This window comes from Homo sapiens, chromosome 8 (genome assembly GCF_000001405.40).
Source record: "Homo sapiens chromosome 8, GRCh38.p14 Primary Assembly".
NCBI lineage: Eukaryota > Metazoa > Chordata > Mammalia > Primates > Hominidae > Homo > Homo sapiens.
In genome coordinates, this window is record NC_000008.11 from 26,298,835 (window position 1) to 26,315,954 (window position 17,120).

General features: G+C 37.8%; 1 protein-coding gene across 10 annotated transcripts in view, besides 1 other annotated feature; it reads left to right on the forward strand.

The window, feature by feature from the left end:
- PPP2R2A (protein phosphatase 2 regulatory subunit Balpha) overlaps positions 1-17,120 on the forward strand; it is an 81,173-nt gene that overhangs the window by 7,327 nt on the left and 56,726 nt on the right. The gene's annotated exons all lie outside the window — the stretch shown is intronic.
- Positions 15,439-15,733: a silencer, noted in NCBI's record as "tiled region #13890; HepG2 Repressive non-DNase unmatched - State 19:H4K20". NCBI's record gives its function as "represses a minimal TATA promoter and a strong SV40 promoter by Sharpr-MPRA in HepG2 cells {active_cell/tissue: HepG2}" and the evidence as "EXISTENCE:reporter gene assay evidence [ECO:0000049][PMID:27701403]".

Sequence of the window (17,120 nt, forward strand, 5' to 3'; positions counted from 1 at the left end):
TAGAAAGCCAAGTTCATTTCTTAAAGTCGAACAGTAAGAAATTTTTTCTAATGATTTTGATAATGTGTTTAAATTTTACTTGTGGAAATAAATTATTAAAAATTCAAATACATGTGGATAATCTGAAGTGTGTAATAATTGGTCAAAATAATAGAACAGGCCAGGTGCAGTGGCTCACGCCTGTAATCCCAGCACTTTGGGAGGCCAGGCGAGAGGATCTCTTGAATCCAGGAGTCTGAGACCAGCCTGGACAACATAGTGAGACCTTTTCTCTACAAAAATTAAAAATATTAGCAGGGCATGGCAGTGTGCAACTGTAGTCCCAGCTACTAAGGAGGCTGAGACTTGAGCCTGAGAGGTCTGCTACAGTTAGGCTGTGATTGTGCCACTGGTCTCCAGCCTGGACAATAGAGTAAGACTCTGTTTCAAAAAAAAAAAAGGAACAACTTAACCATTCAAGATAGTTATTTTAATTATTTTAATGTAGATTTTTCATTGTTTAGTAATCTTAAAATATCAGATGTTATTAAATATTTAATAATGAACCTCATCTGCATATTTGATAGTCTTAAACTTTCACAGGAAATTATTTTAGGATATTATCTTATAAAGTCTTATTTTATGAAACTTGGATCCAAGTACATTGTGTGTTTTCAACTCTTTGCTTTCTGTTTACTTTTGGTAGGATTTAGCCTTGTGGACTGGGTCTTGAAAAAATATTTTTTAAATGGTAGAGGCTAAAATATGCCCCAAATAAGGACATAAGTAAAAATTTGAAAAACAGTCCATATTATGATATCTCACACAATTTAATGGTTTTAGTCCATTCCATATGTTTAATGCTATAATGTAAACAATTTAAAATCATTTCTCTTCTGCATCTCTTTTTTTTTTTTTTGTTAGAGACAAGGTCTTGCTGTGTTGCCCAGGCCGTCTTCTGTGTTTCTTAGAGTAGTATGCATGTTAGATTTAGGCAGTAAGGTAAGTTAGTAGAAAAAGTAGAACCCTGTTGTTTTGTGGATTTAAAAATAGTGGCACATTAGCTGTATTCCGAAACCTAATGACCTATGGTAAAGGTCTTATTTAATATCCTTACCTTGTATGACATGTGACACTTCTTTTTCTTAACACTAGCATTACTACTGAAGTCTAGTAGACCTCACTCAGTACAGTCACTTAAAGTAGTAGTGTAAGTTTACCCATTAAATACCATGAATGATAGTATCTGTTTAGCATCAAATAGTTTTCTTGCTTTGTTTTAAAATACTAAGTTTTTTCACATTCATTTGACAAAAAATTATGAGAGAGAATGGCCATTGAAAACATATTGCTGACATTTTGTCATGTTATTAAAATAAAACAAAAATTAGCCTTAGGTGTTTCTTAGTACTCTGTAATAGTGAACAAAATATTAAAATCAAGTTCTTGAAAATTGTGGAATAAGCAGAATGATGAGAGGTTGAAGCAAAAATGTATTAAATCAGTGAAGAGGTTACAGTATGTTACGTATTTGCATATAAGTGTTTGCCTAGTTTATCTTAAAGTTGATTGTAGGAAGAAAGGTACGTTTCTTAATGCTGTTAAATAGGAAAACTGAAGGATTGGAAATAGCTAAAAAATTTTAGTTAATATCCTCAACTGTAATCTCGTTGCCCTTTAAGGTGATGATGGAATTTGTAATTAAGTAATCAAGTATCCATAAGGTGCTTCCTCAGCAGACAGAAAGAAAAGTAAAAGCTGGCGGGGCGCGGTGGCTCACGCCTGTAATCCCAGCACTTTGGGAGACGGAGGCAGGCAGATCACGAGGTCAGGAGTTTGAGACCAGCCTGGCCAATATGGTGAAACACTGTCTCTACTAAAAATACAAAAATTAGCCGGGTGTGGTGGTGCGCGCCTGTTGTCCCAGCTACTCAGGCTGAGGCAGAAGAATTGCTTGAACCTGGGAGGTGGAGGTTGCAGTGAGCCGAGATCGTGCCACTGCACTCCAGCCTGGGCAACAGAGCAAGACTCCATCTCAAAAAAGAAAAGAAAAGAAAAAGCCTAGGTGCAAATTAGATTTTCTATAAATAAACTGCTATATAGTCATTGTAAGGAAGGCATGGCATGGCCATCTTGAGTACCTACATTTTTTGAGTGCTTAACTATGTATCAGGCATTGTTTTAGGTCCTTTACATCTATTTATTTACTGTTCTTCACAAATACCCTGTGAAATAAGTAGATACTGGTGGGAAAGTTAATTAACTGTATAATCTTGAGCAGGTGGTGAAGCTGGGATTCTTACCTTAGACCTTTCACTTTTCCTAATATAATTTTATTTCAAAACTTAATCTCCTTTTAGTTCAGGTGAAGGCGTTTGATGTTGAACTGCAACTCCTGTTTATAACAAGGTTTATTTGTAATGCCTAGTAGATACTTTTTATTTTGAAGTAATTAAATATAATTTGGAGATTTGTTGAATTTTCAGCTAATGCCATTCTTTTTTTTTTCCTTTTTCTTTTTTTTGTTTTTTTTTTTTGAGACGGGGTCTTGCTCTGTCATCCTGGCTGGAGTGCAATGGCGTGATCATGGCTCACTGCAGCCTCAACCTCCCAGGCTCAAGCGATCCTCCTGCCCCAGCCTCCTGAGTAGCTGGGACTACAGGCACAGGCCACCACGCCCGGCTAGTTTTTAAAAATTTTTTTTTGTAGAGACAGATCTCACCATGTTGCCCAGGCTGGTCTGCTGATGGCGTTCGTTAGCTGAGATGTGCTATATATAGATGGGTTATAAGGGCTTTGTGAACCCTCTGATGATGTGTGTGAAATTGTGTGTGATTGTACATATGTGCATTTCTCTGGTCGGAGTCCGTAGCTGCCATCAAAATTGATATCATTTAGTCCAGTGGTTCTCTAAATGTCGTCTGGCAACCCCTGAACTCATTCCAAATGTCTGTGAAGTAAAAACTATTTTCACAGTAGTACTCAGGTGATACTTGCCTTTTTCAATACATTGACTTTGCAGCAGTGCTGCAGAAGCCATCTTAGCATGAGATCAAGACAGTAGCACAAAAGAGTACCTGTAGAGGTAATCTTCATTACCATGTACTAGCAGTTTAAAAAACCATCAGTTTTAAGAATGTCCTTGAAGCAGTGAAAACTTAATTTGATTAAATTTCTACTTGAACACATGTCTATTAAACGTTCTGCATGACAGAATGGAAGGTATACCTAGAGAAAGAACTTCTGCAAGGGGGTAAAGTGGTTGTCTGGAGGAACAGCATTGGTGCAGCTGTTTTGAGTTTCAACTGCAGTTTTCATGGAACATCACTTTTATTTGAAGTAACTGATGAACTATAGTTATTCAGACTTGGATATTTGGTGGACATTTTCTCAAAAGAACAGTGAAACTGATACTTCAGTGTACAGTGTTTGTTGCCCATGATGAAATTTGAGCTTTCAAGCAAAAATTAGAATTTTGGAAAACACGTCTCTGCCATTGTGAGCTTGACAGCCTCCCAATACTTAAAATATTTTTTCAAATAAAATCAGTAGTCATATTAACGAATGTGATTTTTTGATACTATGTAATGTGTTAACATTTGGAAGATCTGTATAACTCAGTAAATCAGTCTTTTACGGGTGACCGATGCATGTGATGTTAAACAGTCATACATCAGTAAAAGTGCGTGCTAGAGCATTGAATTTTAATGTGACAGACTACCGATATGTTTTGAGATTCCACAAACCTTCAAGAATCCACCACTGTGGAATTTTGGTGTAGTATCAAAGGTATATCCATAACTACCTGAAACACCTATTAAAATATTCCTCCCTTTCTAACTACATATCTGAGTGAGGCTGGATTTTCTTCATATATTTAACTGACAGAATATATTGTGGTGCAGTACATTGAATACAGAAGCAATTAAGAGAATCTTCATTCTGTTAGGCCAGATTAAATTAAAGAGATTTGCAGCAGTGTAAAGCAATGTCATTAATTTTGTTGGTGGGGAGGGGGATGTAGTCATTTTTCATAACATTTTTGTTAATGTGTGAGGTTTATTACTATTTTACAATGAAGAAATATTTTAAAGTTTAAAAGGTCTTTGATGGTCTAAGATTTTAAGAGTTAAGGGGATCCTGTCATTCAGAAAATTTGAGTTGTTGGTTTAGTCTGTTCATAGATTTCATTTTAGTAATAATGCTTTACAAGTCTCATGAACCACAAGGTAAGTGATCAGAATAGTGTACTGCTTTTGTGGATGAATGTCTTAAAAAATTGCCTACGAAAGTAGTTTCTGTGACTTGAAATTGTTTCAGTCTCCTCCCTCCCTGTTCTTTTAGATACCAAATTAGATCTGCCTTAAGCTCCTTCAGCTGGTGATCTTGGTGAAGGAAGAATACCTTCAGGACGTTAAAGTATCTATTTTTAAACTTACCTCTCCCTTACAGAGATTAAATACCAGTAACATATTTGCCAGAATAAAATAATTTTTTACGGTTTTCCCCACAATGTCTGCTCAGGTCCAACTATCAGGAACACTGAAATTCTCACAGCCTAATTTAGTGCCACTCCTAGGTTGCCTGCCTCGTCATTAGAAGTGAGTTGGTGACCTTGACATTGTGTTTTATTTTGAGCCCAACTTGTAGCAGTTTGGTGATGTGTTGTCTGTTCTAGGAAAGAAGGCATAAAATTGGCTTGCTAACTTTCCCAACTTAACTACTGAAGGGAAGAGAGAGAGGGAACAATGTTTTTCTGAAAATCCTGAAGTGAACAACATAATTATATTTTAAATAGTTAAATTTCCCATTCTAAGGATGTAGTATCAACTATTGCTTAATATTTTCAGTATTTTTGTGGCTGTTTTCTACTCTTGAATGCCAAAGTTTGTAGACTTCAGCAGTTTTCTGTCCAGGTTTAAACACTGAATGTAATTTAAAAAAAAACTCCGCTAATTTTTAAAAATGAATATGAATGTTTTTAGTTAATTTTGGCAGTAGTTGATTACAATATCATCTAGATCTTTGCTCTTGGCATATGTGGAATCCTTGGCAAGTCGTTGAATACTTCTATATACCACATTGCCGGGAGTTACGCTCTTGTAGCTTTTAGTTTCTATTGGTTAAATCCTCTCTGTATGTTCAAATACCAGATGGAGTTTTCTCTTCTAGAATCTTCGAATGATCTCTCTTTTTCCAGTTCACAGGGTCTGTGGACCGGTGATCTGGTTTAAGAACTTCTGCTCTAATCTTGAGTTATGCCTGTGTTTACACACTTACTGAAACTTCTGTGCTGGATTCTAAATTTGGAAGAATCAAGGATATTTGTGTGGTAATAATGGTGTTTAGACTATTTAGGAGGGTATTTTTTCTTACCGGTCCTCTTATTACTTTTTCCTGAGATAATATGGGAGGGATTAATCATCTGTAAAATACCAGACTTGACAGATTTAGTGTGTTCCCATCTTTTTTTTTTTTCCTTTATTAAAAACTGTCTCTCATGGGTAAAAACATTAGAAGGATATATTGGATTTTGAACCAGTTGCTTATTTTATACTTTAATCAGAAGGAAATTTAAGTTTTTCAGTAGCTTGTATTAAGAGAGAAATCAGAGTAGGTAAAAGGGATTGGGGGCAAAATTTTAAAAATTTTCTAAAGATCCAGAAGAACATGGTTAGATCTGGAGCAGTGTTACTTTTCAAACCTGCCATTGCAGGCTCATTGTAGGTCTGTCTGCTCTGTATGAAAGTAGAAATAGTACCTTTTTGGTGTTACCCTGCGTGTCTGTTTTTTCCTGCTTACCACAAGGTAAGATTCTTAAGGGTGGATGACTTTCTAAGGGAACAAAAGAGGAATCTTTCCTTTTGGCTAATAGAGTGGGAAGGCTCTAATTCAAGAGAAACAGGCTATTGTAGGCAATAAATAGTTCTGACCAAATTTCTTATCAAGGCATGCAACATGCAAAAATGTTTGTTAAAGGAATTGGTAGTAGCAAAGGCATTGCTTGTTCTGTCTTTCTTCTCCTTGACATAAAATGAGCATTATTTTTTTTTCTAGCAACAGAACCAATTTTTAATGAAAATTTTTAGCTACCTAATGTTTTTATGCATATTATAGAAAACATATAACATTAAATTTACCATCTTAACCATTTTCAAATACACTGTTCAGTAGTGTTAACTCTATTCATATTGTGAAACAGATCCTCAGAACTTTTTCGTCTTGCAAAACTGAAACTCTATACCCGTTAAATAACTCCCTTCTTCCCCTCCCCTCAGCTCTTGGCAGCTACCATTCTACTTTCTGTTTCTGTAAATTTGACTGCTTTAGATTCCTCCTCCAAGTGGAATCATACAGTCTTTTTGTGACTGGCTTATTTCATAATGTCTTCAGGGTTCATCCCTGTTGTAGTATGTGACAGGATTTCCTTCCTTTTTAAGGCTGAATAATAGACCATTGTGTGTATATATCCCTTTTGTTTATTCATTCATTCTTTGATGGGCATTTTGGTTGCTTTCATGTTTTAACTCTCGAGCTCCTAGTCTTTTTATATATATGGGGTTCGGTGGGAAGGAACCAGGTAGGTACTTTCTGTAATTAATTTGAGTAGTCTAGGTAGAACATGAAAGTGTCAGTTTAAAGGATTTAGAGATTGGTGTAGTTTTATTTTTAAAACTCCTGTTTGATTGAGTCTACATCTCTGATTTTTATGGGGAGGGGGCAGAGCTAAGGTGAGACACAGCCACAAGTCAACAGGTATCTGTTGAGTTCCCAGCACTGTGGAGAATGTGAAGGAGATAGAAGACATTATTCCTTCATTTTAGGTACATGGAGGTCCATTTTATTGAAATAAACATTTCCCATAGCACTTGGCATTTGGTATTACACCCTACGTATGGTACTGTGAAAACCTTCTCTAATGCCATGTAAAAATTTTACAGATGATACTAGAGTCTGAGTAGTAAATTACTTTCCCTTTTCTAAGTTGATTTTATGCTGCTTGATATTGAGATGGGGATGTAGTACAAATATTTACTTGTTTCTTGGAGTTAAATTTTAAAAAATCCCATATTGCAGGTCTAAGACCATAAATTTGTCTTTTACTGCTTTCAAATGGTCGTGAGTTGGAATTTTCCAATTAGTATTTTTAGAGACTTCTCTAGGTGAATGTTTATGGTAGCCTACAAGCTACCATACAGAATTACAAAAATTAGCTGGGCATGGTGGCACGTGCCTGTAATCCCAGCCACTCAGGAGGCTGAGACAGGAGAATCGCTTGAACCCAGGAGTTAGAGGTTGCAGTGAGCCGAGATCGTGTCACTGCCTTCCAGCCTGGGTGACAGAGCAAGACTCCATCTCAAAAAAAAAAATGAGTTTCTAGACTGGACGTGGTGACTCACATCTGTAATCCCAGCACTTTGGGAGGCCAAGGTGGGTGGATTGCTTGAGGTCAGGTGTTCGAGACCAGCCTGGCCAACATGGTGAAACACCGTCTCTACTAAAAGTACAAAAATTAGCTGGGCTTGGTGGCGCTTGCCTGTAATCCCAGCTGCTCAGAAGGCTGAGGCACGAGAAATACTTGAACCCAGGAGGCAAATGTTGCAGTGAGCAAAGATCGCGCCACTGTACTGCAGCCTGGGTGACAGAGCGAGACTCTGTCTGAAAAAAAAAAAAAAAAAAAGTTTTCTAGAGCCAATAAACTGCATTTACAAAAGAAAAACATTTTACAGCACTGTACTTCTGAGTCATACACAGACTACATTTACATCTAACTTTTCCCACTGTATTAATCAAATCTAGTTTGTACGTCTGTTTTACAAACCAAATATAGGTAAAGATTTTTATGTTTTAGTAACTAGGTTAAAAAAATCTAATAAAGGTTGGGCTTTATTAGATGATGCATGCCTGTAGTCCCAGCTACTCAAGAGGCCAAGGCAGGAGGATTGCTTGAGCCCAGGAGTTCGAGGTTGCAGTAAGCCATGATCGTGCCACTACACACCAGCTTGGGTGACAGAAAAAATTAATACATATATAGAATGGTAAATCAAGAGGAATACAGCAAATGTATGCTTCTCTCTTCTTTCTCCCAGTTTCTTCGTCCTCTCACCAGAGATGCCATCACAGGTTTCTTATATATCATTCCAGAAGTATTTTATTTTGTATTTGCAATGTTTTTAACAGCGCATCTTTATCATTTTGGACTTGAAAGTAGGAAAATGTATTCTAGGAATCCATGAATTATTAAGCAAGGTCTATAGGCCCTGCCTTAAAGAGGATCTGATGAGTTGCCTGAGAAATTAGCATTTTCTTTTAACCAGTAGATTAAAACCATACAGATTTCTATATGGAGAGTTGCTGAGAAGGTTGTACACATTTGGAATTTACATCTAGATGTGTAATTAGTGGACTCTAAACAAAGCTAAGTAAAATCTATAATATCTAAGATATACAAGTCTTTAAAAATAACAGTTTGGGTTCACAGATACTGGAGTCTTCGGATTGTAGACCTTAAGTCTTCTTTCTCCACTTGAATCTGATTGTTCCTGGCAGTGTGTAAAGTGATCGGTTCATTTTGGTGATTTATTTAATTAAGACTGTACTACACATTATAGAATAGGCTAGATCCTAAAGACATAATGTGTGTTCTTAAGTGTTCAGTAAACACGTAGGCCTTTTTGGTCACTTGTCCACCATGTCTAATTCTCGACCTAATTTCTTGGGAGTTTTGTTAATATTCCTTAAAATGCCAAAATGTCATAATTTGTATACTGCTCAGGTTGATTGGAATAAAGCTTTGTTAAATTCTTGCTATGCAGAATTCTTTTAATCTTTAAGAATTTTTGTTTGTTAAAGGAAAAACAACTTTGATTATAAATGTCTGAGAAATTTAAAAAATAAGTGCTCAAGAGACTGAGCTGTCTATAAGTGCTTTATATGCATTATCTCGTTTAATCCTCTCACTCTGAGGATAAATTATTACTTTCATTTTATAGATGAGGAAATCAAGGCTTAGATAAAGTAACTTGCTCAAAGTCACGTAGTTGGAAAATGGGGGAGTGAGGGGTTGAACCTTGTTGGTTCTTCTGACTTCACAGCCCATGTACTATATGTAAATGAAAAAATAAAATCAAATATAGGCATACGTCAGAAATATTGCTGCTTTGGTTCCAGATCACTGTAATAAAGCAAATATTGCAATAAGGTGAGTCACAAATTTTTGGTTTCCCAGAGCATATAAAAGTTATGTTTACATTATGCAGTAGTCTGTTAAGTGTATAATAGCGTTAATGTCTGAAACAACAGTGTACATGACAATTAAAAAGTACATTATTGCTAAAAAATGTTAATAGTCTGAGCCTTCGGCAAGTTTACATTTTTTGCCAGTAGAGGATCTTATCTTGATGTTGATGGCTGTTGACTGATCAGTGTGGTGTTTGCCGAAGGTTGGAGTGACTGTGGCACTTCTTAAAAAGTGCCAAATGAAATTTGCTGCATCAGTTGACTCTTTCATGAAAGATTTCTCTGTAGCATGCAATGCTCTTTAATAGCATTTTATCCACAGTAGAACTTCTTTCAAAATTGGAGACAATTCTTTAACCCTACTGCTGCTTTATCAACTAAGTTTATATAATATTCTAAATTTTGTTTGTTTCATTTCAACAATGTTCACAGTGTCATCACCAGCAGTAGATTCCATCTCAAGAAACCATTTTCTTTAAAAAGAAACTGCTCATCTATTGATGGTATCATGAAATTGGACCAATACATCTTTAGGCTCCACTTCTAATTCTAGTTCTCTCGCTATTTCCACTACTTCTGCAGTTACTTCCTACATGGAAGTCTTGAGCCCCTCGGAGTTATCCGTGAGTACTGGAATCAGCTCCTTTCAGACTCTTGTCAATGTTGATATTTTGACATCCTCCCATGAATCATGGATGTTCTTAATGGCATCTAGAATGTTGAATTCTTTCCAGGAGGTTTTCAGTTGACTTTGCCCAGATCTTTAAGCGGAATCACTGTCTATGTCAGTTACAGCCTTACAAAATATATATATATATATACTTTTTTTGAGATAGGGTCTCTGTTGCCCAGGCTGCAGTGCAGTGGTGTGATCATGGCTCACTGCAGCCTTGACTTCCTGGGCTCAGGTGATTCTCCTGCCTCAGCCTTCCAAGTGGTTGGGGCTTCAGGTGTGCGCCACTACACCTGGCTCATATTTCTACTTTTTGTAGAGTTGGGGTTTCAATGTGTTGTCCAGGCTGGGCTTGAGCTCATGGGCTCAAATGATCCACTCACCTTGGCCTCCCAAAGTGCTGGGATTACAGGAGTGAGCCACCATGCGCAGCCTATATTTCTTTAATAATGCTAACAATTGTCTTGTAAGTCAGAATCACGCCTTGATCCATGGGCTACAGAATGAATATTGTGTTAGCAGGCATGTAAACAACATCTCCTTGTCCCTCTCTATCAGAGTTCTTGGATGAGCAGCAATATTTGGAAATGAGTCTTTTTTCTAAGCAGTAGGTCTCAACAGTGGGCTTAAAATGTTTAGTAAACAGTGCTATAAACAGATGTGCTCTCAGCTAGGCTTTTTTCTAGAGTACAGGCAGAGTAGATTTGGGCCCTAGAATTCAGAATGGTCAATGAGCATTGGCCTCAACTTAAAGTCACCCAGCTGCATTAGCCCCTAACAAAAGAGCCTGTTCTTTGAAGCTTTGAAGCCAGGCATCAGCTTCTCCTTTCCAGCTATGAGAGTCCTAGGTGGTATCTTCTTTGAATACAGGGCTGTTAATACAGAGCTGTTTAGTTGACTTTGAAAATCTGTTGTTTAGTGTAGTCACCTTTATCAATTAAATTATCTTCCTTTCACTTGAACACTTAAGAGGCCCATAGGGTAATTGTCCTAATTTCAGTATTGTGTCTCCAGGAGGCCCAAGGAGGGAGAGAGAGAGGGGAACTGCCAGTAGGTGGAGCAGTCAGAACACGCAGCATTTTTAAGAATTACATTTGCTGTCTTATGGAGGTGCTTCATGGCATTCCAAAACAATTACAATAGTAATATCAAAGATCATTGGTCACAGATGACCATAACAGGTATAATGATGGAAAAATTGAAGTTTTGCAAGAATTACCAAAGTGTGACACAGAGACACAAAGCTAGCACATGTTGGAAAAATGGTGCCATTCGGCCAGGCGTGGTGGCTCACCCCTGTAATCCTAGCACTTTGGGAGGCTGAGGCGGGCGGATCACGAGGTCAAGATATCTAGACCATCTTGGCCAACATGATGAAATCCCGCCTCTACTAAAAATACAAAAATTAGCTGGGTGTGGTGGCGTACGCCTGTAGTCCCAGCTACTCGGGAGGCTGAGGCAGGAGAATCATTTGAACCCGGGAGGCGGAGGTTGCAGTGAGCCGAGATCACACCACTGCACTACAGCCTGGGCGACTGAGCAAGACTCCCTCTCAAAAAAAAAAAAAAAAAAACACAGTGTCTATGAAGCACAATAAAAGTATGCCTGTATAATCTCGCAATTTTTATATTATATCTGTTAATATTTGGGCATAGATCTTTCCAGCATATAGTTCTTTTTCCACAGCAAATATGTATTTTCAAAACTGTTATCAGACGTACAGTTTTGTATTATGTTTTTTTCCAGTTAACATATATGAGAAGATAAATGGCTGTATGATATTTAATTGGATCTCTAATGTATTTCATTTAGACATTTAGATTGTTTATAATGTTTGCTATTGTAAAGATCATGATGAACATCCTTGTGAGAATCTTATTGCTTTAGGATATATTATCTGGAAATGGGATTGCTGGGTCGAAAGGTGTGATTTTTTTTTTCCTTTTTTTTTTTTTAATGGCTTATGGTATTTATTGCCAAATCACCATAGAAAGTTGGTGTTGATTTTTCACTTCCTCCAATAGTGAATGGGAGTGGCCATTTCCTGACCTCTTGACAATACCTGGCACAATATTCACCATTCAGAAAAATCTTTTCCAGTTATTTGTTTGAGCACGTTCAAATGTTGGAGCCTTTTTGTGTTCTTTGTCTAGTTTTCTTTGGTGATGCTTTTTTAAATTTATTTGTAGTATCACAGCCCTTTTCCCCTTCTGAATCATACATTGTAGTGGAGGAATGTTGGAGGGAAGCTCAAAGAAATAATTTGGGTCTGTATTACATGGGAAAGACTTCCTAAATGAAGTGGATTTTTTTCCTTTTTCTTTTTTCTTTTTTGTTCAAGCAAAGGAAACCAGAGAGTAAGGAAACAAACATTTGAGAATTGCTGTGTTTTAGTTTTCTTATCTGTAAATGGGAATAATAGTACTTGTCTTTTTATTTAGAGGATTAAATATACATGAATGCTTAGTTTTGGCACATAGTAAGCCTCAGAACATTTAATTGATGTAGTTATTTTTCTATCTGATACCCAATTAACAGAATTAACAGTTGATAGCAGAAGAATAAAAGCCTATTCCGGTCCACAAATTGAGATCAACTAGTTTTTGAGGTTTTGGGCACATTTTAGGCACTTCCAATAAATATACGTTACATTAATGACTAACATTTCAGCTTGGTTGAGTTAGGCATTTGGTAAAACTAGGGAGAGATTAGTTTCCCAGCTTCATCAGAATTGGGATTAGTTTAGGGTCTGGCACTTTGACTATTAATTTGACTAATTTAAAATTATTGTGCTGAGCCGGGCACGGTGGTGCAAGCATGTAATCCCAGTTAATTGGGAGGCTGAGGTGAGAGGAGCACTTGAAGCCACGAGTTCAAAGCTGTTGTGCACAGTGATCATGCCTGTGAACAACCACTGCACTCCAGTCTGGGCAACGTAGCATGACCCTGTCTCTGAAACAATGAACGAAAAATAATGTGTGACAACAGAAATTCAAGCTTCTTTTTTTCTCTCTTGTTTTCCCTTTTTTCTCCAGTTCCTCCAGTGTTTTATTCTTCCCTATAATTATATATTCTGCATCTTCCCTCAAGAGTAATATAATTGGGTGGGGTGGGGTGCACCTAGAACATGCAGGAGGGTCCAAAGCACCCTTCACTATTGGTGTCAGTTTCTCATAGCAGGGAGGGATGGAGTTTGGGAACATCTGAAGGGATGGTGTCAGGCACACGGAGGCTCTAAAACACCCTGCTATTGGCTCCCCTTGCTACCTAGGGCAACGTTGTAAATAGCATATTTTTTACATTATAAATATTTTCTCTTTCTCCTCGTTCTTCTACTCACTTGTTTGTATGATGATCTGAATCTTTTATCAGAGTTTCAAGTAGGCTGACAAATATATTTAGAGCCCTTGGAAAATTCTCCAGAAGTCTGAAGAGAATAGAAATGGAAAGCAAATGTTATTATACCAGTGAACATGCTTAATTCCCCTCAATTCCTTATTCAGAAGTGTGCTGTTTTGTTAAAAGAGTTGTATTGGCCTGATAATCAACACTTCTCTAGCTTTATGTGCATGTGAATGTCCTGGGAATCTGGTTAAAATACAGATGATGATGGTGCATTTAGGTCTTGTGGGGGATCCTGTGATTTTTGCATTTCTGATCAGCTCCCAGTGATGCTGGTGTTGCTGCTGGTGGTCCCCAGACTATACTTTGAGTGGCAAGGCAGCTTATAGCCTCTCTTTAAGGGTAAGGGAGACCTAGTAGCTTAATTTTTTTACTCAGCATTTTTGACAGAATAAATAGATCTATTGTGCTGTTCTCACATCAGTTAACATTTCTTCTGTAAATGAATAAAATACCTCTTTGGGAGTTTTGCACTAGCTCTTAAAAGAGCAGATTGCATCATACTGCAACACGTTAGCCATCTCTAGTTGTTACTTTAAATTTGTATTTCAATTTCAAGTTTGGCTCGGTCTAAGACCTTACTATACTTAGCAAAGGTGTGTTTTTTGCTGGTAATTTGCCCTTAAATTTTTATCTTTGCCATTTTTCTGTTTGCTTCCTTACCCTTGAGGCACCTGTTCATCTCAGATCAGGGCCTCCCTTACCAGCTATCTAAGTTTAATGTTGTTTTAGATTGATTTTTATTTTATCCATGTAGCTCATGTATATAGTTTTTAAATAAAAGTCCATATTTCAAAATACTTACAAGGCAAATGAACAGTTTTCTGTTTCTCTCACCTGTCCTCATCTTGATCCACTTTCCCAAACTCTTTTAGCTATTTCTTCTGGTGTTTATTTTCATATTTCTTTTTTTTCTTTTTTTTTTTTTGAGATGAAATCTTGTTCTGTCGCCCAGGCTGGAGTGGCACCATCTTGGCTCACTGCAGCCTCCACCTCTTGGATTCAAGTGATTCTCCTGCCTCAGCCTCCCAAGTAGCTAGGACTACAGATGCGCGCCACCATGCCTGGCTAATTTTTTGTATTTTTAGTAGAGACATGGTTTCACTATGTTGGCCAGGCTGATCTCAAACCCCTGACCTCAGGTGGTTTGCCTGCCTTGGCCTCCCAAAGTGCTGGGATTACAGGGATGAGCCACCGTGCCTGGCCTATTTTCATATTTCTAAACTACATGCTCATACAGCTGTTTTTAAAAGCAATCCACAGATGGAAATGGTAGCTAAGAACTGAGGTCCGCTAGGCTCTTCCTACTGCTCCTCCCAGCTTTCTTGGTGTTGTTACACTGTGTTGATTGTTTAAGCCAGTGTTCACAGTTGTAGTAGACTGGATAATGGTCCCCGAAAGAAATCTGCGTCCTAATCTCTGGAACCTGTGACTGTTACCTTATATGGCAAAAGGACTTGCAGATGTGAGTAAATCAAGGATTTTTGAGATAGGGAGATCATCCTAGGTTATCCTGGTAGGCTGTAAATATGTAAGCACAAGGATGCTATAAAAGGGAGGCAAGAAAATCAAAGGAGGAAGCAAGAGATAGGAGTGATTGCAAGGAAAGGGTCACAAGCCAAGAAATGCAGGTGGCCTCCAGAAGCGAGGAAAGGCAAGAAAATGGATTCTCCCCTTAAAGCTTCTAGAAGGAACCAGCCCAGCTGACAACTTCACCTTAGCCCAGTGAAACTGTTTTTTGACTTTAACTGTAAGAGAAAAAAATTAATGGTGTTTTAAGCCACCGAATTTGCAGTAATTTGTTACAGCAGCCATAGGAAACTCACGCAGGAGTGGACATTGTACATACGGGCTGTATAATAAATTCTGATTTTTTTCTATTATTGTTTTCTTTAGAGTTAAAAATTACCTTATTCATTTGGCTTTTAATCTCCCATCACTGTTTTCTTTCTGCACCTTCAAAAGCCTTCTAATGTAATTTTCCACATGATCAAGAAGAATCAGTTTATGTTCTTCCTGGAGTTCTCCATCATGTTTCAGTCTGGAGTACTTCGTTTCGTTTTCTGTGAATCTGTCACTAAATCATCTTCAAATCCTCTGCAGAGACTGAATCCCCTCCTAGTATATTGAAGCACATCAGATGTTGTATCAGTTTTACTTTTGCCTTAAGCTCTATCCCTCCAACCCGCGTGCTTCAATCTGGGCAGTTTCTAAGCCTGGTGCACAGCTGTTGTCCTGGGATTTTCCTTCATCATTATCATTGTGATCATCATCATCGTGGGAATTCTTTTGCCTCTGCTGTGTTGGAGCTCCTTGTTCTTGGATCTCACATCTTTTTCTTTCTTGTTTTATGCTATTATTTTGGGATGGTGCACAGTATCCAGTGCTTTATGGGAAAGGTTTCATAGGAGGTAAAATTTTTGAGATCTTGCCTGCCTGGAAGAGATGTCTTTATTCTACTTCCACACTTTCAAGTTTGGCTGGTTAACATTTTCCGTTAGAATTTGGGAGGTGTTTCTTTTGTCTGTTAGCTTCCGGTGTTACATTTGAGAACACTAATGCCATTCTGTTTACTGATTTTTCCTTTCTGGATGATGTGCTTTGGTGTGGGTCTTTTTCATTAATTGGACTCGTACTCATTGGACCCTTGCAGCTTGTAGATTCATTTCCTTCTGTTTTTTCCTTCTCTGTTTCATTTGTTCTTTCTGGAACTTATCTGGATCTTGGACTTTTTGTACTGGTCCTCTTTTTTTTTCCCTTCCCCCCCCCCCCCCCAACTATTTTCCATTTCCTTTTTGCTTTACATTCTGGGGGAGTTCCTCAGTTTTGTTCTCAACTCTTTCATTTATTTTTACCATTGCATTTTTAAGAGCTCTTTTGCTCTTTGGAAATAATGTTGGTGGTGGTAGTTTTAAGCAGCCCCGGTTTTATAAATGGAGTATCTTGTCTTTGAGAAGATTAATAGTTTTTTGGGTTTCTTTTCATTTTCTAATCTGAGCATCTATTTCCTTTGAGTTTCTTTTTTCTTATTCATATTGGTAGACTGGTATCTGGGAATCCTTGGTTGTCTGTTAGTTCTTAAGAATGAGGTAGTAAGAGTAAATTAGGAGCTTTGTGTCCACTGGCAGAGATATTCGGCTGGTGGGCTTCACTGTAGGGTGATGAGCCAGGGACCCGCAGTCAGTATCTCTAGATGAGAAGGAACTTCTAGTGTCTTATCTCAGTGGGAGGTGGGTAAGTGGGATGGGTCACATCTTAAGCCTGGCTGCTGACATTCTGGGAGCCAGGAAGATCACCGAGCAACTCATGGATTACTATGCAGCCTTTCATTTAATCTTGTTTTTAATTTGACGCCTCACCACCAGCTTCCTCTCAAATTGATACCTTCTCAAGGTCAGGTTCAGTTTCTCCAGAAGGTAAATGTGTTCTCTATTTTAGAGTCTAGCTTCTCTGTGTCTTGCATAGATGTTTCAACCAATAGCTGTTTTGAGTCTCATGCTTCACTGCAGCCCTGCAAGGTACCTGGTGCTTCTGTGTCCTGACTTGACAACCCCTTTTGCATGCTCAGAGGTTTCACTTTATTTTGCTGAGTTTTCTATTTTTCAGCACATTGGTTGTTACCTTCCTTCTGCTGTTGCCTTGCGTTTTCTTTGTTCTTATTTTAGACTGTTTTTATTAGTTTACCGTCATTTTAGTGGGTTTAGAAGATAAATGCGTGTTTTACATCTACATGTTTAACAAGTGTATCAAAATGTTTATAGTTTCTTTTCATTCATGTCTAGAACACTTGGTAATCACTTTCTATGCAATAGAAAAGGGGAATTCA